At 46.0% G+C, this 23,831-nt stretch overlaps 2 protein-coding genes across 9 annotated transcripts in view, besides 7 other annotated features; one reads left to right on the top strand and one right to left on the bottom strand.

Moving 5' to 3' along the window:
* SAFB (scaffold attachment factor B) overlaps positions 1 to 22,817 on the bottom strand; it is a 45,396-nt gene extending 22,579 nt beyond the window's left edge. For 4 of the 7 annotated variants that reach the window (NM_001201338.2, NM_002967.4, NM_001201339.2 and 1 more), the window contains exons 1-5: positions 22,506 to 22,817; positions 19,411 to 19,495; positions 4,242 to 4,306; positions 3,954 to 4,160; positions 501 to 563 (exon numbers count right to left, since the gene is read on the bottom strand). In NM_001201338.2, the coding sequence (NP_001188267.1) occupies positions 501 to 563; positions 3,954 to 4,160; positions 4,242 to 4,306; positions 19,411 to 19,495; positions 22,506 to 22,694 (609 nt within the window). In that variant the 5' untranslated portion in view covers positions 22,695 to 22,817. The remainder of the gene's footprint in view (positions 1 to 500; positions 564 to 3,953; positions 4,161 to 4,241; positions 4,307 to 19,410; positions 19,496 to 22,505) is intronic. The other 3 variants (XM_017027114.2, NM_001320571.2, NM_001201340.2) reach the window with 2 other exon arrangements.
* Positions 21,655 to 22,386: an enhancer, noted in NCBI's record as "H3K27ac hESC enhancer chr19:5623525-5624256 (GRCh37/hg19 assembly coordinates)". NCBI's record gives its function as "activates a minimal SCP1, AML or CMV promoter by ChIP-STARR-seq in naive H9 embryonic stem cells {active_cell/tissue: H9 hESC(naive)}" and the evidence as "EXISTENCE:reporter gene assay evidence [ECO:0000049][PMID:30033119]".
* Positions 21,655 to 22,409: a biological region, named in NCBI's record as "H3K27ac hESC enhancer GRCh37_chr19:5623525-5624256".
* Positions 22,360 to 22,409: a silencer, noted in NCBI's record as "silent region_9925". NCBI's record gives its function as "represses an Ori minimal core promoter by ATAC-STARR-seq in GM12878 lymphoblastoid cells {active_cell/tissue: GM12878}" and the evidence as "EXISTENCE:reporter gene assay evidence [ECO:0000049][PMID:35858748]".
* Positions 22,387 to 23,119: an enhancer, noted in NCBI's record as "H3K27ac hESC enhancer chr19:5622792-5623524 (GRCh37/hg19 assembly coordinates)". NCBI's record gives its function as "activates a minimal SCP1, AML or CMV promoter by ChIP-STARR-seq in primed H9 embryonic stem cells {active_cell/tissue: H9 hESC(primed)}" and the evidence as "EXISTENCE:reporter gene assay evidence [ECO:0000049][PMID:30033119]".
* Positions 22,387 to 23,379: a biological region, named in NCBI's record as "H3K27ac hESC enhancer GRCh37_chr19:5622792-5623524".
* Positions 23,040 to 23,379: an enhancer, noted in NCBI's record as "active region_13804". NCBI's record gives its function as "activates an Ori minimal core promoter by ATAC-STARR-seq in GM12878 lymphoblastoid cells {active_cell/tissue: GM12878}" and the evidence as "EXISTENCE:reporter gene assay evidence [ECO:0000049][PMID:35858748]".
* SAFB2 (scaffold attachment factor B2) overlaps positions 23,124 to 23,831 on the top strand; it is a 35,778-nt gene continuing 35,070 nt past the window's right edge. For both annotated transcript variants that reach the window (NM_014649.3, XM_011528449.4), the window contains exon 1: positions 23,124 to 23,370. In NM_014649.3, coding sequence (NP_055464.1) covers positions 23,185 to 23,370 — 186 coding nt within the window. In that variant the 5' untranslated portion in view covers positions 23,124 to 23,184. The remainder of the gene's footprint in view (positions 23,371 to 23,831) is intronic.
* Positions 23,380 to 23,499: a silencer, noted in NCBI's record as "silent region_9924". NCBI's record gives its function as "represses an Ori minimal core promoter by ATAC-STARR-seq in GM12878 lymphoblastoid cells {active_cell/tissue: GM12878}" and the evidence as "EXISTENCE:reporter gene assay evidence [ECO:0000049][PMID:35858748]".

Below are 23,831 nucleotides of genomic sequence, written 5' to 3'. Positions count from 1 at the left end.
AAACAAAAACAAAACAAAACAAAACAAAAAAAACTTCCCAAAGACAAGACCAGAACCCCTGAGACCCCACCTTCCCCAACAGGGCTCTGTCAACCCTCAATCCCCATCTGGGCCCTACTCATCTTTCCCAGGTAGCCATGCCCTCTTGCTGTCTCATCAAATCATCTTTCTGCAGGGGATGCCACCCAGGGTAGATGAGACAGGCTGCCTTCCCCTGCCACAAGCAATGAAATTAAGAATGCCACAAAACATGACTCTAATGACTGCTGGTAAGCCACAGCGCTTGGAGGCCACTCGTCGAAGCCTAGAGTTAAGTCCCTGGCAATGCGTACATTATATTTGGAGGAAAGCAGAAAGCAAACACCCATTAACGATCCTGACAAAGGAAACAACCCTTGTGGTGATTATTAGCTGGAACTGGCATATGGTGTCTGAAATGGATTCCAGAAATTGTGGTCTGACCTTTCATTCTAAAAGTACTGAGACATACAACAGTTTACCTGTAATATAGTGAAGTCAGATGATGAAGTATCTAAATTGTTTATAGTTTCTTTGTCCTCTATCTGTAAAATAAATGGAGAAAATACAGTTCATCACACCAACAATAACGTAACATAATGGTACATCTGTACAATGAAAAGTGAACAGCTATGAAAATAATTCACAACAAAATTTTAAACCCAGGGCAGAAATCAAAACACTATTATAGTATAATTGCAGCTAAACTGAAAAAAAAGTTGTATGTAAATGTCCACCTGCACATAGACTAGGAAATCTACTAATATGGTAGCTATGTAGGTTTTAAGATGCAAAAGAAAGAAAAAAAGTCTAAGTCAAACAGAAAAGAGATGAAAATGAGTGCACAGCCTCTAAGTGGATCTGAGCACAGGGTGAGGGCTGTTCTTCCAGGAGCAATGGCTAGAGTCCTGCTGAAGTGGAGCCTTCAGCCACCGCTGCTCGCCCAGCCTGGATGCTGAGGATGTGGGACCTGCTGCCCCTGGGGTAGGTACCTCCCTCAATGGAACAGCATCTCCCAGCATGAGGGTGAGGACAGGAGCTCGAGACTGGCAATATCCTATGCCCTACTTGCAGGGGAAGAATAGCTTTTATTCTAAGAAGTAGGCTCTGCCCAATAAGGCAAAGGATTCCCCAAACAAAGAAAGGGGGTTCAGATAATTTGTGACTGAAACCAATTTTGGCCATCTGCTCTAAAGCCCTGAAATTTGAGATATACTTAGGGGGAGACGTTTTCAGATATTTTATAACCAGCATGTATTTTTATCACTATATTTCACTAGGAAAGACACGCACACGATCAGAAGACTCAAAAGGTACAAAAGCCCATTCACTGAAAACCACTCTCCACTACTCCTTTCTTCCTGCCATGCAGTGGTCATCGCATATGCTACACACGTGTTTAAGTGCCAAAGACCATCTCCCCTTAGACATCTGCACCAGGGGCAGCACATCATTCTGAACCCTCCCCAAGTGTCACTTCTCTTTTGGAGATTGTTTGAGTTCACACAGATGTGCTTAATTCATTTTGATGGTTACACTGCAGTAAAAACTGTATTCGTGGTGGTACATTTCATAACTCTACGGTGCTTTCTAGATGCTAGGCATTGAACTAGGCTGGGAAACACTTTGTTGGAGCTGCCTAGTAAATTCTTCAGGAATTGTAGAACAGATGAGTCAGGACTCCTCTCTGACACTAAAGCACAAAAGCAGCCATAGACAACAGTATCAATAGGTGTGGTTGTGCTCTCAGAAAACTTCATTTACACCATGAGACCCTGTCTTGAAAAAAAGCAAAACAAAGCAAAAACAAAAAAACCCCAAAACAAAAACAAAACAAAACAAAAACAACCCAGGTGACAGCCAACTTGATGACTTCTGCTTTAAGTGTATAATAAACATCCATCCATTGAATCTTCCGAAAACCTCTTGCAAGTGAGGAGCAGAGGTTAAGGAGTTTGTCCAGGGACACACAGAAATTGATCCATCTCCAGAATCTACCTCTGAACTCTTTTTTTTTTTTTTTGAGAGTCTCACTCTGCCGCCCAGGCTGGAGTGCAGTGGCACAATCCTGGCTCACTGCAACCTCCACCTCCCTGGTCCAAGTGATTCTCCTGCCTCAGCCTCCTGAGTAGCTGGGATTACAGGTGTGAGCCACTGTGCCCAGCCAAGCCACCGCACCTGGCCTCAACCCTTAAAACTAAACTGCTTCCAGGCATTTAGGATGTTTCCAGCTTTTGTTGCAGAATGTATGATTTTCTGCTTAGGAGGGAAAAAAACAGCCTTAAGAAGATGCAGCCATTCAGGAAGGGTAAGTAACTCCTGCTGCTGTGCAAGTGTTTCTGCTACTCCTTTTTAGAAGCTGATGAATGGGACTCACCAAAAATTGCACACCCTATTTGTATCAGAATAACTCTCAGCCACTTCTCAGACTCAAATCCTCCATTCAAATATGACAATCTGCTACCTCTAAGGATACTTGGAATCAGTTCCAAGAGGAAATGCAAAAATATTCTGAAGAAATGCAGAAGCGGATTGACTGGCATACAACAAGGTTTCTGTCCACCAAGACTGCTTGAGAAGCACTCACTGCGGAAGACCTAAGGACCAGGACAAGAACAGGGCCCCCCACGAGCCAACACAGAAAGGGCCCCACAGCTTCTCATATGCATCACTTTTTCTGTCTGACAAACATTAATCATCAGGTAAATGAAATTAATATCAAATTAATGGCACCAAGACAACATCGTACATAAGTTAAGTACATGGCCTCTGGAATTAGCCTGATCTTAGTTCTTATTCTGTTATGAGCTGTGTGTCATCTGGAGATGTTTTTTAGTTCTTGCCTTCCCAATTTCCTCAACTGAAAATGGGGACAACAGCACCTCATGTTGCTATTAGAAGAATTAAAGGGCACATGCTGGGCGCGGTGGCTCACACCTGTAATCTCAGCACTTTGGGAGTCTGAGGCAGGCGGATCACCTGAGGTCAAGAGTTCAAAACCAGCCTGGCCAACATGGTGAAAACCGTCTCTACTAAAGATACAAGAAAATTAGTCGGGCTTGGTGGTGGGCGCCTATAATCCCAGCTACTCACTTGGGAGGCTGAGGGAGGAGATCACTTGAACCCAGGGGGCAGAGGTTGCAGTGAGCTGAGATCGCGCCACTGCACTCCAGCCTGGGCAACAACAGCAAAACTCTGTCTCAGAAAAAAAAAAAAAAAAAAAAAAAAAAGAAAGGAAGGGCATAATGCCAATGCCTGGTAGGTAGTATTCAGGAAATACTACCCACTATAATCTTACTATCCATTTGATATGTTTCTAACAGGAAAAAAATTTAGGTTTAAAAACAACATCCAGGTTAATACTTGAGGTTAACTCTTAAGATAGGTATCAACTGGCTGTGTTTTTTTTTTTGTTTGTTTGTTTTAAACAAGAGATAGGGTTCTGTCAGACTCTGCCACCCAGGCTGGACTTCAATTGCACAATCATAGCTTAGTACAGCCTTGAACTCCTGGGCTGCTCCTTCCACCTCAGCTTTCTGAGTTACCGGATTACATGAGTGCATCAAGGCACCCAGCTCAACAATTGCTTCTTAACAGGAAAACACCAACTTCTAACCTCTTCCTAGTTCAATGCTTTCAAGGTACCTAGGCCATAACACCACAGATCAAGTCCGGCAACAGGAAGAGTCTGAATGGTTGTCCTCAAAATGTCTCATACTGTATGCCGCAAATGGATAGCAAGTACATATGAAATGTTATAAGACATCACCTTTCAACAAAACAAATTGGTTCAGAATCATCTGAACCAACTGACCCTTATTCTACTGAACTGGCATTACAGAACAACTTACTTCCCAATATGAAACTGATCACCTATTTTAATTGTGGAACTGATACATTCAGGGCACATTCTAGAGACATTGCCGGTTACCTACAGCATGTTCCTGAAGCTGCTCCGGAAGCTCTTTCATTTCCCCCTCGACTAGCTCTCTACTATCCGACAGGGACTCCTGGAGGTTATCAGCATCATCGTCTTCGACACAATCTGCAACGCTTCCATTATCAATTTCTGCTTCATCCAACACACTGATATCCATGATGTCGATGTCCTGCAAGTTCTCCAGACTGGTCTCAACATCCTCCTGTGACACAACCAGACCGAACCATCATGTGACCGCCACTGGTCCATCCACCACGCTACTCACTCGCAAGGCTGCACATACCTGTCCATCCCCAGAGTTTTCCTCCAGCCCGTTATCTTCCACACCCTCTTCTTCTGGTTTGCGCCCTGAAGACAGAATCATTTACAGCATGAGATCAAATGATACGCACTTTACAGAAGCAACAATGCCCTGAGCACTACACAAGTGGTCACTTTATAAACATCTGAGACACCTCACTACTTAGGAACACTTCCTAATCCAGGAATGAGGCCATTCCGCACAAGACAGCCCTGCCCCACCCCCAAGCAGAAGAGGTTCTGTTCTTGTCTGAGCTGTGGAAGTAGAAGTGCAGAAAACAGGTTCTTAGTAAAGTTGAACAGGATCAGACCTGTCCTCAGCTCTGCCCTTCTTCCTATCCCAAGTGTCCTTGTTTGAGGGAAAAATTATTTGTTGCAAATGTGCTGCCTTTTAGTTAAGGAACATGTTTTCCCACAGAAACTGCGCATGCCCGAGTATGCACATTTTTAATGCTTAAAAAGAAAAAAGAAGGGCCGGATGCGATGGCTTACGCCTGTAATCCCAGCACTTTGGGAGGCCTAGGCGGGCGGATCACCTGAGGTCAGGAGTTCGAGACCAGCCTGGAAAACATGGTGAAACCCCGTCTCTACTAAAAATACAGGACAATCACTTGAACCCAGGAGGCGGAGGTTGCACTGAGCCGAGACTGCGCCACTGCACTCCAGCCTGGGCAACAAGAGCGAAACTCGGTTAAAAAAAAAAAAAAAAGAAAAACAAAAAACCCACATACTATCAAGATACTCCAGAGGGGCTGGGCACGGTGGCTCATGCCTGTTAAGTCCAGCACATTAGGAGGCCGAGACAGGTGGATCACTTGAGGTCAGGAGTTTGACACCAGCCTGGCCAACCTGACGAAACCCTGTCTCAACTAAAAATACAAAAAACTAGCTGGTTGTGGTGGCGGTTGCCAGTAATCTCAGCTACTCAGGAGGCGGAGGCAGGAAAATCGCTTGAACTCTGGAGGTTTAGGTTGCAGTGAGCTGAGATCGTGCCGCTGCACTCCAGCCTGGATGACAGAGCAAGACTCTGTCTCAAAAACAAAACAAAACAAAACAAAAATTGCAGAGGAAGGTTTTTTTTTAACTTATACATTTCCATCAACAGCGAATTAAAAAGTGCCAATCTCGTGCACTTGTAGTCCCAGCCACTCGGGAGGCTGAGGCAGGAGAATCGCTTGAATCCGGGAGGCAGAGGTTGCAGTTAGCCGAGATCACACCACTGCACTCCAGTCTGGCAACAGAGCGAGACTCCATCTCCAGAAAAAAAAAAAAAAAAAAAAAAAGCCAATCTTTCTTGAATCTCTGTTAAAAATTTGCTATTTTTCTTTATCTTTGCCAATATGCTAGGTAAGAAAAGGAATACTGTTTTAACACGAATTTATCTCCTGACTACTCAAATTGCTTTGAATCATTTGCTTTTTGTTGTTGATCACCTGTACTTTTCTAAAAATTTCTGATTTACACCCCACTATTTAAAAACTTCGGCTCCAGCCAGGCGCGGTGGCTCACGCCTGTAATCCCAGCACTTGGGAGGCCGAGGCAGGCGGATCACCTGAGGTCAGGATTTCGGGACTAGCCTGACTGACATGGAGAAACCCTGTCTCTACTAAAAAAAACCAAAAAAACAAAAAACAAAATTAGCCAGGTGTGGTGGGGCATGACTGTAATCCCAGCTACTTGGGAGGCTGAGGCAGGAGAATCGCTTGAACCCAGGGGGTGGAGGTTGCGGTGAGCCGAGATCCTGCCGTTGCACTCCAGCCTGGGCAACAAAAGCAAAACTCCATCTCAAAAACAAAACAAAACAAACAAACAAAACACTTCGGCTCCATCCCCCATCATTTGAAGTTTATATATCATATGTACAAAACATATTTTCCCAGTTCTTTACCAGTTTTTAAATTTTGTTTACAGGTTTTGAGTACACTTCACTGTTCTTTTTTTTTTTTTTTGGGACGGAGTCTTGCTCTGTCACCCAGGCTGGAGTGCAGTGGCCTGATCTCAGCTCACTGCAACCTCTGCCTCCTGGGTTCAAGTGATTCTCCTGCCTCAGCCGCCTGAGTAGCTGGGATTACAGGCGCCTGCCACTACACCCAGTTAATTTTTGTATTTTTAGTAGAGATGGGGTTTCACCATGTTGGCCAGGCTGGTCTCAAACTCCTGACCTCAGGTGATCCACCTGCCTCAGCCTCCCAAAGTGCTGGGATTACAGACATGAGCCACCGCGCCCTGGCCCATTTCACTCTTATGTGGCCAAGCTATTAATTGTTTTTAAAATGTAAGTGGTTTATACCTTCATGCTTGGATGTCCTCCTCCATACTGAAGGCTAAATAATATACACCTGTATTTAGTTCTTTTGAAGTTTTAAACATTTATTCTCTCAGTTTCATGTTGAGTGAGACTATTTTCCCAATAGTTGTCCCATTTGGAAACTGATTTCCCAGCACCACTGACTAAATAGTACTTGCCCCCGACCAATTTGAAATGTTGGCTTCCGCAATATTATATTTGTATTTATGTCTGGGATTACTTGTTTCCATTCTCTTCCACTGATCTGTTATTTTTGTTCCAGTTTTAGATATGTGGCATTACCATGTTTTTCTAAATAGAAAATACTTGCCAGGCGTGGTGGCTCATGCCTATAATCCCACCACTTTGGGAGGCCAAGGCGGGTGGATCATCTGAGGTCAAGAGAAGAGTTTGAGAACAGCCTGGCCAACATGGCAAAACCGCGTCTCTACTAAAAATACAAAAAAATTAGCCAGGCGTGGTGGCAGGCGCCTGTAATCCCAGCTTGGGGAGGATGAGGCAGGAGAATCGCTTGAACCCGGGAAGTGGAAATTGCAATGAGGCGAGAACACACTACTGCACTCCAGCCTGGGTGACAGAGCAAGACAGACTGTCTTTAAAAAAAAAAAAAAAAAAAAAAGACTAAGATTAAGTATAAAAAAAAAGAAACTAAAAAACGATTGGAAGGTATGGCTTAACTCCAGGTTTTTCTTCAAGAGTTTAGTAATTTTAGGCTGGGCGTGGTGGCTCACACCTGTAATCTCAGCACTTTGGGAGGTCGAGGTGGGTGGGTCACCTGAGGTCAGGAGTTTGAGACCAGCCTGGCCAACATGGTGAAACCCCAGCTCTACTAAAAATACAAAAATTAGAAGGACATGGTGGCAGGTGCCTGTAATCCCAGCTACTCGGTGGGGGGGTTGACGCAGGAGAATCGCTTGAACCCAGGAGGCAGAGGTTGCAGTGAGATGAGATTGAGCCACTGCACTCTGGTGTGGGTGACAGAGACAGACTCCATCTCAAAATAAATAAAATAAAAAGAGTTTAGTAATTTTAAAAAATGTGAAAAACATCAAGAGGCTGCATACCTTCTTAGGTTCATACTTCTCCTGTCAGCCAACAATGCTAAGAACAGGGAAGTCATTTCCCCAACTCCCCTTGTGCAACCTCCCAATTTTTCTTACTAATTGATGATTTATAACATTTGCAACAGTTCACAAGGGCAGGCATGCTGGCACCTTCATCCAAACAGCAGTATTTATATAGTCATTTGCTTTTTCATACAAATGATAAAATGAGTAGAGAATAGAAAAATGTAAACGATGATACCAGAAATAACAGAACTGAAGCAAAAATGGAAGTCATTAGGCATGGCAAAAATGAAATTTCTGGTGTCAGGAATAGGCATGCTCAAATTAAACTCTTTGACTGTCTTCCATGTGAAGAATAAAATCACATGCATGAAATCCATGAAATAGACTCTGGAAGACCACATCTCAAAGGCAAGGCATAATGTAGCATCATTTCATGTTTTAGAGCTACTGCCAGCACAGCTTCCTAGCATTCCTTATAGAAGGCGGTGCTCAGCTTTTTGAAGAACATGGGAGAAAAGCTGATCAAACACACAACTTTGGGAAAACTACTTCCTGCCAGGCCTCTTTCCCAGTGTGAAGAATAGTCTATTTTTTTTTGGAGACAGGGTCTGACCCCGTCACCAAGGCTGGAGTGCAGTGGCATGTCTTGGCTCACTGCAGCCTCTGCCTCCCAGCATCAAGGGATCCTCAAGGGATCCTCCCACCTCAGTCTCCCGAGTAGCTGGAACTACAGGCACGTGCCACCATGCTTGGCTAATTTTTGTATTTTATGTAGCAGTGGGGTCTCACTATGTTGCCCAGGCTGGTCTTGAACTCCTAGGCTCTCAAGTGAGTCTCCTGCTTGGGCCTCTCAAAGTGCTGGGATTACAGGCACGAGTCACCACATCCAGCCTGAAAATCAATTTTTTTTTTTTTTTTTTGAGATGGAGTCTGGCTCTGTAGCCCAGGCTGGAGAGCAGTGGCACGATCTTGGCTCACTGCAAGCTCCACCTCCCGGGTTCACGCCATTCTCCTGCCTCAGCCTCCCGAGTAGCTGGGACTACAGGCACCCGCCATCACGCCCGGCTTATTTTTTGTATTTTTAGTAGAGACGGGGTTTCACCGTGTTAGCCAGGATGGTCTCGATCTCCTGACCTCGTGATCCACCCGCCTCGGCCTCCCGAAGTGCTAGGATTACAGGCGTGAGCCACCACGCCCGGCCGAAAATCAATTGTTTTAAGGCTAAGTGTTGTTTCAAGCAGTATTAAGGAAACAAGGTCTGACACTGTGGCTCACACCTATAATCCCAGCACTTTGGGAGGCCGAGGTGGGTGGATCACTTGAGGTCAGGAGTTTGAGACCAGCCTGGTCAACACGGTGAGACCCTGTCTCTACTAAAAATATAAAAATTAGCCAGGTGTGGTGTCAGGCACCTGTAATCCCAGCTACTCGGGAGGCTGAGACAGGAAAATCACTTGAACCCAGGAGGTGGAGGTTGCGGTGAGCTGAGATTGTGCCACTGCACTCAGCCTGGGTGACAGAGTCAGACCCTGTCTCAAAGAAAAAAGAAAAGACAATTAATTTGTCTATACTGGAAACTATTCTTGTAACTGGATAAATATGTAACATCCTGGGGGGAGAAAAAAAGAAAAGCCAAAGACAAAAATTCCAAACCTAATTATTTGTACTGTAATTGACGTTTAAATATTCTAATTTCATTCATATTTTTAGAATTACCTTATTTACAAAGATAGGGGACTATCAAACTGATAACAGAATTCAATACATGATATTTTGGTCAGTTGGCTGGGAAATCCATCCCCATTTTATACCATTATTTCTTTGGCAAAACATGCCTCGAGGTCTAAAAAACAGCTGGAACTCAACCCAGTGGTCTCTGTAAACATGCTGGGAAGAGATACCAGAGCATTGCCACAGAATGATTACATTTGATAAAGTTGCTACAATTCTATGATACGTACGTTGGTTTCTGTCCAATCCTATTCCAGATAATAGGAAAAATCTACTAACTTATCAGAAACTTGCTGCCCTCCATACGGTGTTCTCTCTTCCTCAGGAGGGGTACTAGATTTTCATCAAACAGAATCAGGGTTTTCCACTTCTATGACCACTTTTCTCCCAAGCAGTATGTACAGGTACACTGCAGCCAAATCCTTCTCAGGGGAAAGCTCCCCCGAGGTAAAATGTGACTGGAAATGTCGAGAGAACATGCAATCTTCAAAATGTTTAATCTTCAACGTATAAAGCACATCCCTGACTGGAATGTTTATTAATCATCACGACTTGAGGAAAGACAGTATTCTCCAGAGAAGAAAAACGTCTAAAAAAACCAAAAATGAATGCAAATGGGAAAAGTATAACTCTCTGGCAAAAACTGAAGAGCCATTGATTTGTCTTTAGTATCAAGGCCAATGTGCCCCTTGAATCCTTCTACCTCAGCTCTTCACCCTAGTTTGTGGTCTCAGCTATGGGCATGACCGTCATCGCCTCTATCGCCTGCTCGTAGCTCCCTGCCTGGGATTCCATCTCTTGCCTTCTGTTAAGCTTCTGCCTCAGAGACTGTCCAATCTCACTGCTGACTCTGCTGCCCTGGACTTCTGCTGGGATGCTCCCATAGTACCCAGGGCTGCATGTGGGTGGTTCATTACTTTCTGATTTGATTACACAAACACACTTCCCTAATTATGCAAATATACGTATTAAACTTTACTGCAGTAACAGAAGATTCATCCTCCTAAGTATAGGAAGTATAAAGCTATAATACCTTCCCTTTTCCCTACTGTCCTCTTAAGAGGTTACCAACGTTCCCAGCTTGGTGGTGCCTCAGGACATCATCTTGCATCTACATACATTATATGATACATATGGAAATAAGCTTGTGATGAGATGAAATCTTATTGTTAGTGAGCAATGACACAAGTTACAGAAACTACTAACAGGCCTTGGACATTTTTATGTACTGCGTATTGATCCACCTCCATCTTTGACTCCATGCTACGGCAGTTCCCCACGTTAGCTGCCTTCTCAAAAAGGCTGTAGCAATTTATTGTCTCCAACACCTACACCTTCCCCAATACCCTTGCCAATGTAGGAGAACAGGAACTGTGTAAAAAAAATTTTTTTTTGAGATGGAGTTTCGCTCTTGTTGCCCAGGCTGGAGTGCAATGGCGTGATCTCGGCTCACCGGAACCTCCGCCTCCTGGGTTCAAGTGATTCTCCTGCCTCAGCCTCCCGAGTAGCTGGGATTACCGGCACGTGCCACCACACCCGGTTAATTTTGTATTTTTTTGTAGAGACAAGGTTTCTCCATGTTGGCCAGGCTGGTCTCAAACTCTTTACCTAGAGTGACCCGCCCACCTCAGCCTCCCAAAGTGCTAGGATTACAGGTTTGAGTCACCGCACCTTGCGGAACTGTGTAAATTTTTACCAGTTTGATAGGCAAAAATCTTATGTCATTTCAAAATTTGCTATTCTGCAACTACCAGCAAGGGAATCTTTTGGTCTCTAGGCCACATCTGCTTTTTCATTTATTTGTAAATTGCCTGTTCATAGTCTCTGCTCCTTGTTGACTGGGTTGCCTGTTTTCCTTACTGATTTGTCAGAACATTCAATGCTTTCTGGATATGAGTTTCTTCCTTATTCTGTGCTATAATATTTTCTCCCAGACTGTTGCATACCTTTCTTAACAGAGAGTTAAAACTTTTATGTAGCCAAATTTCTCTTTCTTTGTTGTTTCTCAGTTTTATTCTTACTTCAGGTCTTTCTTATTACTATATTATAAAAAGTATTAAACTAGCTGGAATTTCTATTTTACACAAGAAGAGATAAGATTAGAGCTTTCCCCCACCATCAAATGAACAAACCCTCAAACTTTCTGTTGTTTGCAATATCCTATCATCAAAATTAGAGGAAATCCCTGTATTCCCCCCCGCCCAGAATTTTAGTTATTCTTGTGCATTTTCTTTTTAGACTATTATGGAACACATTATAAAATTTCCTTTTAGGTTACTGTGGAGAAAAGTGACAATTTTCTGATAAAAAGTCATCATATCTAGGAAAATTTTCTCTGCTAAAAAGTCATCACATCTAGGAAATTTTTCTCTAATTAGTGATTTCGCAGGACTTGAAAATTTCCTGTTAATTCTATTTACTATTTAAGAATGTTATGTACATTTCAATGTCAATCTGGCAACATGCTTAATTCTTTGATTCACTAATGATATAACTGTCACCTAAAAAATCCTGGAGAAGTGATTAACAATTTTAACCAGCTAGCAAGTTTGCCAAACTGTTCATGAGGGCTTTGTCACCTTTCTTAAGCTGTCTTTGGCTTGCTTCGGATTGCTTTAACAGTACTTAATTTCCTGAGGTACAATCAGCCCAGTAGCTCTCACAAACCAAGTACTGGCCCAGGAGTTGACATCCTAGTTACAGAAGTACATCTAAGTTCCAAGACCCTGGTTTCTTTTTTCTTTTTTTTTTTTTGAGACGGAGTCTCGCTCTGTCGCCCAGGCTGGAGTGCAGTGGCGCAATCTCGGCTCACTGCAAGCTCCACCTCCCGGGTTCACGCCATTCTCCTGCCTCAGCCTCCCGAGTAGCTGGGACTACAGGCGCCCGCCACCACGCCTGCCTAATTTTTTGTATTTTTAGTAGAGATGGGGTTTCACCGTGTTAGCCAGGATGGTCTCGATCTCCCGACCTCATGATCCGCCTGCCTCGGCCTCCCAAAGTGCTGGGATTACAGGCGTGAGCCACCGCGCCTGGCTGCAGACCCTGGTTTCTAATAGCTCTCCTCAAAAGGGCCCAGGGCACCTGGAAGAAATGGCTGATTCCGGGGAAAGGGCAGGAAAAGCATAAGATGAGACTCACGTACCCTGCCATTCCAGAAGGTAAAAAAGTATCCCAAGAATGGCATGAACATGTGGAAATGACAGGGGAGCCTGTCTGACAGGGTTCCCAATGGAACGTTTTGCACATTGTAGTAAATAAGCATAAAGGCTTTCAACCTATGGAATAAAATAATCTAAGTTCACACAGATAAATGAGGGCAAAGGGCAAGCTATTCCTTATGTCAGTAAACCAAGTAATAAACAAACAATAACAAAATTAAAAAATCACCATTTGGCAACTACCAGAATAAATGAATAGACAGGAACTGGTGGTTGCTAAAACTAATGGACGATGAGCAGGATATTTACAAAGTCTCAGAGTATCTTCCCCACAAATGTAACTGTGAAAAGGAAGACAGTAACTTTCCAGTGGAGAAACCTGGCCAATAGCATTTGAAGTCAGCTAACATGGCCAATAATGGCTCAAACTGACAGCATGTGCCTCTGGATAGTATACTCTGATGACAATATAGGCTGGGCGTGGTGGCTCATGTCTGTAATCCCAACTCTTTGGGAGGCCAAGGTGGGAGGATCGCTTGAGCACAGCAATTCAGGGTTGCAGTGACCTACAATTGCACCATTGCACTCTGGCCTGGGTAACAGGGCAAGACCCGGTTTCAAACCAAAACAAAACAAAAAACAGGAATACAACATGTCTGGTGTATTTCTGACAAGCGTATAACTTGATCCTTATTATGGGGCGGGGAGAACCCAAAACAATTCAAATAGAAAAATAAACTACAAAATAAGTGTAAGTGTTCAAGATTAAAGAAAACTAAGGAAACATGACAACCTGATGCAATGCATGACTCTGGACATTTTTTGTCTGAGTTATAGAGAATATTATTGGAACAAACTACTGAATCTAAATGAGGACTAAGACGAGGTGGCAGTATTGTATCAATGTTAATTTCCTGATCTGGACATCTACAGTTAGGTAATATCCTTACTTTACTGCAGTACGTAGGGCAAAGGGGCATATGCGCCTTGCAACTTACCATGCGGTCTAGTAAAAACATACATACAAGGAGAGAAAAGGACAAGGCAAATGTAGTCAGATGGCAATATTTGGGGACTCTGGGTAAAGGGTATATGGGAATTCCTTGCATTATTCTTGCAACTTAAGTATGAAATTGCCAAAATGAACAAAAACTGAACAAAACAAGCCAGCAGCAAAGGATTGGGTAATACTTAACCAAGCAAACAGGCCAACTTTGCATCTCCAGTTACAAAACATTCTCAAACACCATAAAACATCCTATTAATTTGTACTTTGTGATGACACTACAAATAAATTTAGTTTCCTGGTAATTATTTTATTTTTTCGAGACAGAGTCTTGCCCTGTTACCAGGTTGGAGAGCAATCACAGCCCAATCATGGTTCACTGCAACCTCAAATTCCTGGACTCACGTGATCCTCCCACCTCAGTCTCCTGAGTAGCTGGGACTACAGATGCACGCCATCACATCTGACTAATTTTTCTAATTTTTTGGAGAGATGGGGTCTCACTATGTCACCCAGGCTGCTCTCCAACTCCTGGGCTCAAGTCATCCTTCCGCGTCGGTGTCCCAAACTGTTGGGCTTACAGACGAGAGCCATCTCGCACAGCCCCTGATAATTATTTTGAGAGTCTGCTAAGATGGTGAGAGTCACGTCATGTGGAATGTGACTTTTGCTGTATAAGCAGTTTTTAAAAAAAATGTTAAAGTGACAATTCTGTTTTGGCCAAGTGCTGTTTAAAAGGGATGTCATTTTCTCCAAGTCCAAGCAATAGGAGGAGAACTGAGATTACATGAGATATGCTTTCTGGAATTTTAAAGCATTTTGAATTCACACATTACAGCAGTCCCTCTATTTTCAGTTAAAATCTTGATAAAACCCACTGATAAAGTAGTTGAAAATAATTCAAGAAAACTTACCGACCTGCCCTATCAGATATCAAAATGTACTGTAAATTTCTAGAATAAAACTGATTACAAGAAGCAAAACAAAACAACAAATGAGACACAAAAGAGCTAGTATTGCATGGCTCCATTTTACATGAAGTTCTAGAATGGGTAAAACTAATATCTGGTGAAGTAATCACAACAGCGACTTTTATTTTTGCAGGGGCTGGGAGGGGAGACGCACTGGGAGGGGCAGAAGTGATCTTTCTGATGACAAATGTTTCTTTTCTTTTTTTTTGAGACACAGTCTTGCACTGTTGCCCAGGCTGGAGTGCAGCAGCATGATCTCAGCTCACTGCAACCTCCGCCTCCCAGGCTCAAGTGATTCTCCTGCCTCAGTCTCCCGAGTAGCTGGGATTACAGGCATCCGCCACCATGCCCAGCTAATTTTTGTATTTTTAGTAGACGGGGTTTCACCATGTTGGCCAGGCTGGTCTCGAACTCCTGACCTCAGGTGATCTGCCCGCCTCAGCCTCCCAAAGTGCTGGGATTACAGGCATGAGCCACCACGCCCAGCCTAAATGTTTCATGTTTTCATCCCTACCTACCTCACACCACATGCAAAATACATTCTAAATTAATTAAACCTCCAAATGTAAAATGTAAAAATAAAACCATAAATATTATTCTTTCTATATATAACAGAGTTATACATATAGTTTTTTTTTTTTTTGAGACGAAGCTTCACTCGTCGCCCAGGCTGGAGTGCAGTGGCGTGATCTCGGCTCACTGCAACCTCTGCTTCCCGGGTTCAAGCGATTTTCCTGCCTCAGCCTCTCAAGTAGCTAGGATTACAGGCGCTTGCCACCACACCCAGATAATTTTTGTATTTTTAGTAGAGACAGGGTTTCACCATGTTGGCCAGGCTGGTGTTGAACTCCTGACCTCAGGTGATCCACCTGCATCGTGGGATTACGGACGTGTGCCACCGCACCTGGCCTTACAGTCATATTTTTAATAATTTAAAAGCAAAGAAGTCCTTTTAAAGCGTAACATAAAATCTAGAAGCCTAGTGATCAAAATACCACAAGTCGAATCAGATTAAATTGAATGACAGATTAAAACAATAGAAACATTTTATATGAGTCTTTATAACTCAATAAGACAAACAACCCAGCACAGAAATCGGCAAAGGGCATGAAAAGGCCATTCAGACGACACAAATGTCCAATTATCAGAAGAGTATAATCTGTGAAGAAATGCAAACGAAAATCTCACCTGCAGAAAAATGCAGATAAATACAATGAAATACTTTTCTTCTATATAACAGGCAACAAGGTAACAGGCAAACAAGGTAAGTTTGATGTTGAGTTTAGTGAAATAGGCACCGTCACCCATTGTTGGTAGGGTACAACCTGGGACAGCTTTTTGTTTTTGTTTTTGTTTTTGAGACAGCCTCACTCTGTCGCCAAGGCTGGAGTGCAGTGGCACTATCTTGGCTCAATGCAACCTCAGTCTCCCAGGTTCAAGCTATCTTCTTGCCTTAGCCACCTGAGTAGCTTGGATTACAGGCGCCCACCACCACACCTGGCAAATTTCTGTATTTTTAGTAGACGTGGGGTTTTGCCATGTTGGCCAGGCTGATCTTTTGATCCGCCCACCTCAGCCTCCCAAAGTGCTAGGATTACAGGCGTGAGCCACTGAACTTGGCCGGGACAGCTATTTGTAAACTAGCTATGTGAAAATAAAGGGCCATATCCTTGGAGTCTAGAATTCTCCTTTCACTAAGTTATCAAAAATTATATTACTTTGACCACACAAAGGTATTTATCTCTGGTTCGTGCAAACACTGAATGTTGGAAGTACCGAGTGATAATTGGAAATAAAAATCTCCAAACGTCTAGTAATAAAAAGACTGATGGGCTAAATTGTGTATTTATTCATACAGAAGATTATTAGCCTGTTAAAAAACAGTGAGATTTTGTATAGCAAGATCACGGGTTTTTTTAATGAAAAAAATATGCATACAGGTGTGTGCACATACCTATATATTTACTTTTTTCCCCCTCTCACTCTGTGCCCAAGCTGGAGTGTAGAAGCACACTCATGGCTCACCGCAGCCTTGACCTCTTGGGCTTAAGCAATCCTCCTACCTTGGCCTCCCTAGTAGCTGGGACTACAGGTGTGTGCCACCATGCCCAGCTCATTGACTTTTATTTAACTTTTTGTTTTTCTAGACACAGGGTCTTGCTCTGTAACCCAGGCCTAAGTTTACTTTTAAACATTGTACATACACACACAGTCTGGAGAAGTATGCCTAACTTTTAGTAGTGGGCTGTCCCGACTGTGAACAACTTCTGCTTTTTACTCCCATGCACGTATTTTAAAACCTGCCGGGCGCAGTGGCTCACAACTGAAATCTAAACGTTTTGTGGGGCTGAGGTGAAAGCACTGCTTGAGGCCAGGAGTTCAAGGCTGCAGCGAACTATGACTGCGCGACTACCCTCCATCTGAGTGACAGAGTGAGAACCCACCTCAAAAACAAAACAAAAACAGCAACAAAAGCCTGTAGTACAAGTATTTGCTTTTATCAGAAGAAAAAGGAAAACAAAAAAGGAGATCCACAGGCTCTGTTTTTTGCTTTTATTATTTCTTTCTCCATTGATTTTCCAGGACTCTTTGCCTTGGCAGAAGTATACTTGAGTAAAGGCAAAAACACGCAATGTATCATGAGCCACAGAAGTGACTTCATTCTGCTGTTCTCCCAGCACTTACCCCAAACACTGTGGCTGACACTGGGGCCTGACTCTCAGATATTTAAACCCAGTACTTCACCACCAAGTATTAGTTATTATCTCATTTAGTTTTGGGCCCTGAGAACCAGGCCTTCAATTACAGGTTGGGCAACCCTATCTGAAACTGAAACCTTCTGAGCACTGACATATTGCCACAAGTAGAAAATTCCACACCTGATGTGTGGAATTAGTGAAAGTTTTGTTTCATGCACAAAATTATAAAAAATATGGTATTAAATTATCTTCAGGTGTATAAGAAACAAATTTCTTGTTTAGATTTGGGCCCCAATCCCAAGATTATCTCATTATGCGTACGAAAATACCGCACAAAATCCAAAAAATGAAACCCTTCTGGTCCCAAGCATTTCAGATAGGGAAAACTCTACATGAACCAAGAGAACATTCGGTCTACAAGCCCAGCTTCAGCTGATTCTTTTTTTTAGGGGGATGGAGTCTTGCGGTCGCCCAGGCTGGAGTGCAGTGGTGCGATCTGGGCTCAGTGCAACCTCCACCTCCTGGGTTCAGGCAATTCTCCTGCCTCAGCCTCCTGAGTAGCTGGGATTACAGGAGCCCGCCACCACACCTGGCTAATTTTTATATTTTTAGTAGAGACGGGGTTTCATCATGTTGGCCAGGCTGGTCTCGAACTCCTGACCTCAGGTGACCAGTCCGCCTCAACCTCCCAAAGTGCTGGCATTACAGGTGTGAGCCACGGCGCCCTGCCTCAGCTGATTCTTTCTTAAGCCAATAGTTGAGTGTTACCAAGTTAAACCATTGAAGGGGAAAGAAAGATAAACAAGACACAGCCCTAGTCCTCATCAATCTGCTCTTGACAGAAGGCAAGATGACATAAATATTAAACCAAGGGGTAAGGAACTATGCCACGGGAGGACAGAGGACCCAAGGAGACGAGTTGCTATTGGTGGGATGGATCAGTTGTCTTTTGAGGAACTAGGTCTCTAAGGCAGACAGATGGGGAAGGGTGGGCGGAGCGAAGTCACAGAGAACCAGGAGAGTAAATCACGTGTTTGGGGCCTGACTAAAGCACAGGGTGTGGGGGATGGGCAAGAGAGATTTCGGTAAGATGGTGAGAGTCATGTCATGTGGAATGTGACTTTTACTGTATAAGCTGCTTTTAAAAGAAATGTTAAAGTGACAATTCTGTTTTTGCCAAGTGCTGTTTATAAGGGATGTTATTTTCTCCAAGTCCAAGCAATAGGAGGCTCAGGCAGTCCTACTTTTTGGACTCCATGTTGGAGTTCAGTGGTGCCATGATAGCTCAGTGCAACCCTGAACTCCTGGGTTCAAATGATCCTCCCGCCTTAGCCTCCCAAGTAGCTAGGAAAACAGGCGTGCCTCGACGCCTAGGTACTTTTTTTTTTTGGCAGTGGATAGAGGCAGCCCAGGCTGGTCTCAAACTCCTAGACTGAAACCATTCTCCTGCCTTGGGTTCCCAAAGTGTTGGGATTACAGGTGAGAGACACTGTGCCCCGCCCCCACCCCCCTTTTTTTTAAGAGAGACTGGGTCTTGCTCTGTCACCCAGGCTGGAGTGCAGTGGTGCAATCATTAGGTCATTGCAGGCTTGAGCTCCTGGGCTCAAGTGATCCCCCTCCTAAAACTCCCAAGTAGCTGGGATCACAGGTGCATGCCATCATGCCTGGCTAATTTCTTTTTGGTGGGGATGGGGGTCTCCCTATGTTGCCCAAGCTGATCTCAACCTCCTGGGGTCAAGTAATCCTTCCGGTTCAGCCTCCCAAGCAGCTGGGACCACAGATGCATGCCACCACACCGGGCCTTTAAAAGTTTTTTTGTAGAGCTGGGTTTTGCTATGTTGCCCAGGCTGGTCTTGAACTCCCAGGCTCATGTGATCCTCCTACCACAGCCCCGAGTCGCCTGGAATTACAGGCACACGCCACTGTGACTGACTCCCAAAAGACTCCTTATTTAAGGACCGCTGACAATCTACAGAGGAAAATGAATAAAGGACAAATACTCCTTCCATCCTCCATTGGAATTCCCAGATACCAAGAAAACAAAACACAGTAGAGAGATCTTGAAAGAAAATGCAAAGCTTCGCTGAAGGCTCCCAGTTCAGAGTGGTTCACAAGTCCAACACACAGACAAGTAAACGAGGCACATTAGCAATGTATTCGTTTTGAAGAAAGCACTTAACATGAAACTTGCTTATGAAATCCTCCATACCTTTGCTAGACCTCTTTGATGTTTTCTTGTTTCCCTCGGAGGTAATTTCAATTTCGTCAGGATTACCACCTTCATCTTCAATTGCCTAAAAAGAAGGGAAAAGTAAAGTTGATCCAAAAAGTCAGCTCACACACTGCTTTCAGAGAGCTCTCAGGTGACAAGGAAACTGTATTTTTAAGATCAAAAAGCTGCTGCCGCCCTCACCACCCAGGACCTGTGGCCCATCCACTCATCTGTTATCTCGCTCTACACTGGAGACCGACTGACGCCACCAGTTCTTAGCTGGGTGGTCCCAGGCAGGTTTACTTAGGTGCTCAGTTTTTGCTTCTTCCTCTGGAACATGCGGCTAATAATAATACAGTACTTACCCTGGAAGGCTGTTGTGAGGACTCTACTAGCCATGAAAAGGAAGCACTCAACAAACAGTAGGCTTATCTGGTTCATCTCCTTCCTAAGCCCAGAAGAACTCAAAAAGGGAAAGGCACACTCTCCATTTCCCCTGACTTTACTCACAAAATACTCTTTAACCCTCCAGGGACTCCCTCCACGCCGTGCCTGTACTCAGTACTGTGTGGACAGAATACTAATGCTCGCTGACTGGGATCCTACTATGTGTTACGCACGAGACCCGTCACGACATGCATGACCTCATCCGATCCCCATCATGTACATTCACAACCGACTCCAGTACCTCATTCTCAACCACTAGGTGATTGTGCCTCATCGGATATTGAATTATAAGAATTTCTTGGCACGCCCAGCCTCCCACCCCAGGACTCTGTCACTCACTTCAACTATGCCCATCCTCAGCACAGTGCCTGGCATCAACTAAGCCATCAGTACCGAACACGTCAATCACGATGACGTCCCTAGAAACTTAGCTTCAGGTCAAGTTTTACTGATAACTTTTCCAGTCTTTACTCTCCAGTCCCATGAGCACAAGTTTTGTTTACATCATTTCATGTACTATGTTTTATCTGCAGAGGTTTGGAAGCCTCCAAGTTTCCCAGGTGGGTAAGTCTGAATTGAGATAGGGCCTGGGGGTTCCACATCTCATCTTTACCAGCAGCAACAAAAATCTCTCCTCTCAGAAGCCAGAAAAGGGACTGAAGTTCTTTCCTGGGATCAAGGAAAAGTACAATCACCAAGTCCCTCACCCTTTTCCCGGGGACAGGCAATTCTGAAACACCACCAGGAGAAGAGAAGCAATGCCCTAGGCAGGTGTCCTGTTTCCCCTTTTTGTTCTTTTGCCCTTCCTGGAAAAATAAACCAAGAAAGGGACACCAACAGGATGACAGAAACGGGAAGAGAATGAGATCAGGAACTCCAGACTGGCTTGGGTGAGTGGCAGACAGGGATATGGGCTGGCGGTATTCGTGTTTTGGGACCACATCTTGAAGAAAATGAAAAGGAGAAGGAAGAAGGAACAAATCTGTGCTCTCAGAGATGACAGCGAGTGATGGGAAGTCTCAGTCACCAGCTTGACAGGAAGATCACAGCAGCTTTTCAGGCCTATGGACCGTCCAGGGAGAAAAAAAGGATAAAGCCTCTTAATTTGGCTTAGCTGATGGGAGGCCCTGGTGGCGGGGCACCACACCTGACCAGCCGCCAATCTCCACTCTCTGCATTTTCTCTGGGTAAATATGTAGATCAGTGGGCTTCCTGCCTTATCTGAGTAAAGAGAATCCATAGTGAAAAGAAACACAAGCTTGAGCTTTTAAAAGGCCCATGTGACTCTGGCCGAGACAACTATCCACCCTTGAGCCCAGGGTTTCTCATCAGGAAAAAAAAAAAAAAAAAAATCCCTACTTCTTCTCATCACCAATTAATAATAAAGCCCTGTGATCTCCGTAGTTCCGGAGTCAGGATGGTGGGATGTGTCAACAGCCCCACTGCCTGCAGGGGCTGGGGGGTGGGCGGCCAGGCGGAGCAACTACAGGGGAGAGGTCCCAGAGTAGCCAGGTGGAAAAAAGGCAGAGAAAAAAAGCTACAGGAATAAGGAAACCGCAGGTGGCTAACCTTTACTTGCCTCTCTGCTTTTCCTAGGGATCCCTTTGAATCCCCCAAGGGAGGCGTTAGAGCCCCCGATCTGCAAATGAGGACTCGTGGTGGCACAGAGAGGAAAAGCGAATCGTGATGGCAACCACACACCGAGTGTTTACATGCGCCAGGCAGCACGCCAAGCCTGCTCCACGCAAACTTATTTAATCCCCAAATCAAAGTCCTATTGCTTTTTTGCTTCTTACAGGAGAAAAAAAAAAAAAAAGAATAGAAAAGAGGACTCAGAAGGGGTTCAAGGTCTCCTATGCCCAAGATCAGGCCACCGAGAGCTGGCAGGGTCCCCAAGTCCAGAGAGACTGACGGAGCTGGGGGAGCCCAGGCTCTGCCCGCCTCCCGGGCAGTTCTGAGGCTGGTTTTAAAGTCCACCCGGGGTCTCCCCTCATTTCACATTTCTGATCACTACCGTCAACACCACTTTTCCTTCCTGCCACGTTACTTCACCGAGCGAGTACCGGCAAACCGTGAAAACTGGATTGTGGTGGGTTTTTTTCTATTTTTCCCTTTGAGTATGTCCTACGGGTGTTTCCTTTGTAAATCAGCCCCGATTCAGGCTGGTCGGTCCCCTGTGGGTCACAAAGCATCTTCCCTGGGGAAACCAAGCAGCCGAATCAGGAATCCCAGGGCCTGGGTTCAAATCCCGACGCTGCCCGTCCTCGGCCGTGTGACCTTGGCCGAGTCCCTTCCCCTCGCCTGGGAAGTGAGGGTTTCAGGGTCTCCCCTCCAGGTACGGAGGAGGGGACGAGACGAGGGGAGAACCCTCCTCTCAGTGGACGATGTCACCCGTCACCGTTTCTCCTGCACGCGTGCCGTTTTTGTGGTTCTCCTGGCCCCATTGCGGCGTTAGGATTTGAACCCAGGCCCAGCCGGCCAAGGAACTCTCTCCGGGGCCTCGGAGGAGCCGGGGGACGCGAGAGCGCCAGGTCCGGCGAGGCCGCGAACGCGGCCGGGGGCGGACGCCAGGGCCCGCGAGCCACCGTCGCGGCCAAGAGGACCCCAGACCCACCCTGTGCCCGCCCTCGGGGCCCCAAATCCACCTTCTTCAGCCGCTCCATCAAAACGCTCTTGTTGCCGCTCGAGTCCACATTCCGTTTCCTCAGCTCCGCCCGCAGATCGATCACTCGCAGGTCGCTGAGGCGCCGCGTCCCGGTCTCTGACGAGGCGGAGCTCAGAGCCGCCGCGCCCGCCGCTCCAGAATCACCTAGGCCTGACAGAGTCTCCGCCATTCCAGGGACCCTGGCTCCGCCGCCCACTTTCCACAGAACCGGGCCGGTTTTATCAGGCTCCTAGCACAAAATGGCGCCGCCTGCGAGGGAACCGCTCCAGTCGCCCCAGCGCGCCTCGCTTCTGCGCAGGCGCACCAAGCGTAGGTTCTAGTATCCCGGTTGCAACTGCACATGCGCAGTGAGAACAACGCGGGGATGTGCGCAGACGCGTTGCGTCTCGTCAGCCTCCCGCCGGGAACTGCCGGGACGCATGCGAGCTGCAGATTCAGCGCTTGCGCGTTGTGCCGGGGAACCCGCGGTTGGTGGACGCGCGAGCGTCCTTGCTGCTAAGTACGCTAGTGGGGGCGGTGCGCGTGCGCGTGCGCGGCCGCAAAGCGGGGCGGGAGGAAACGAGTGCGTTTTCCTCTTAGGCGGCGCCATTTTGTGTTCAGAGCCGCTATAGCTGCCGGCGGTGTGCGACTGAGTCGGTGGCGAAGACGGGAACGCGACGATGGCGGAGACTCTGCCCGGGTCGGGCGACTCGGGCCCTGGCACGGCTTCTCTCGGCCCGGGCGTTGCGGAGACTGGGACGAGGCGGCTCAGCGAGCTGCGGGTGATCGATCTGCGGGCGGAGCTGAAGAAGCGGAACCTGGACACGGGCGGCAACAAGAGCGTCCTGATGGAGCGGCTCAAGAAGGTGAGGCGGCGCGGGGCTCGGGGGTGGCGCAGGAGGCCCGGGCACGCCCCCGCCTGCACCTGTCACCGCGGCTCCCGGACCCGGGGCGCCCTGGGTTCGCCCCGCGTCTTGGCCGACCCCGGTTCGAGGTGTCGGGCACCCAGGGGGCCGGCTGTGTGACCTTGGCCCGTCACCGCTCCTCTCTGTGCCTCCCTTCCTATCCTCTTTCCACCTTTTCTCCTCAAGCGCGCTCAGCGTGCGGTCTTCTCCGCTACCAGGGTGGCCCCGGGACCCCTCCTGGGGCTCCCGATCGAGCCTTGGCTCTGTGACCTTGGGCAGGTGCCTTTCTCTCTGTGCCTCAGTTTCCTCCTCCGGAGAATGGGTGTCTGGCGGACTCCAGAGCATTTACAGGAAAGGGGGCGGTGCTTGTTCTTGCCCCAGGGCTTTGGCCTTTACGAAGCTGTCCACCCGGGTCCCCCAGA

This window comes from Homo sapiens, chromosome 19 (assembly GCF_000001405.40).
Source record: "Homo sapiens chromosome 19, GRCh38.p14 Primary Assembly".
In the NCBI taxonomy this organism is placed as follows: domain Eukaryota; kingdom Metazoa; phylum Chordata; class Mammalia; order Primates; family Hominidae; genus Homo; species Homo sapiens.
Note: the sequence above shows the minus strand (reverse complement) of the source record. Positions and strands in the feature narration are given on the sequence as shown.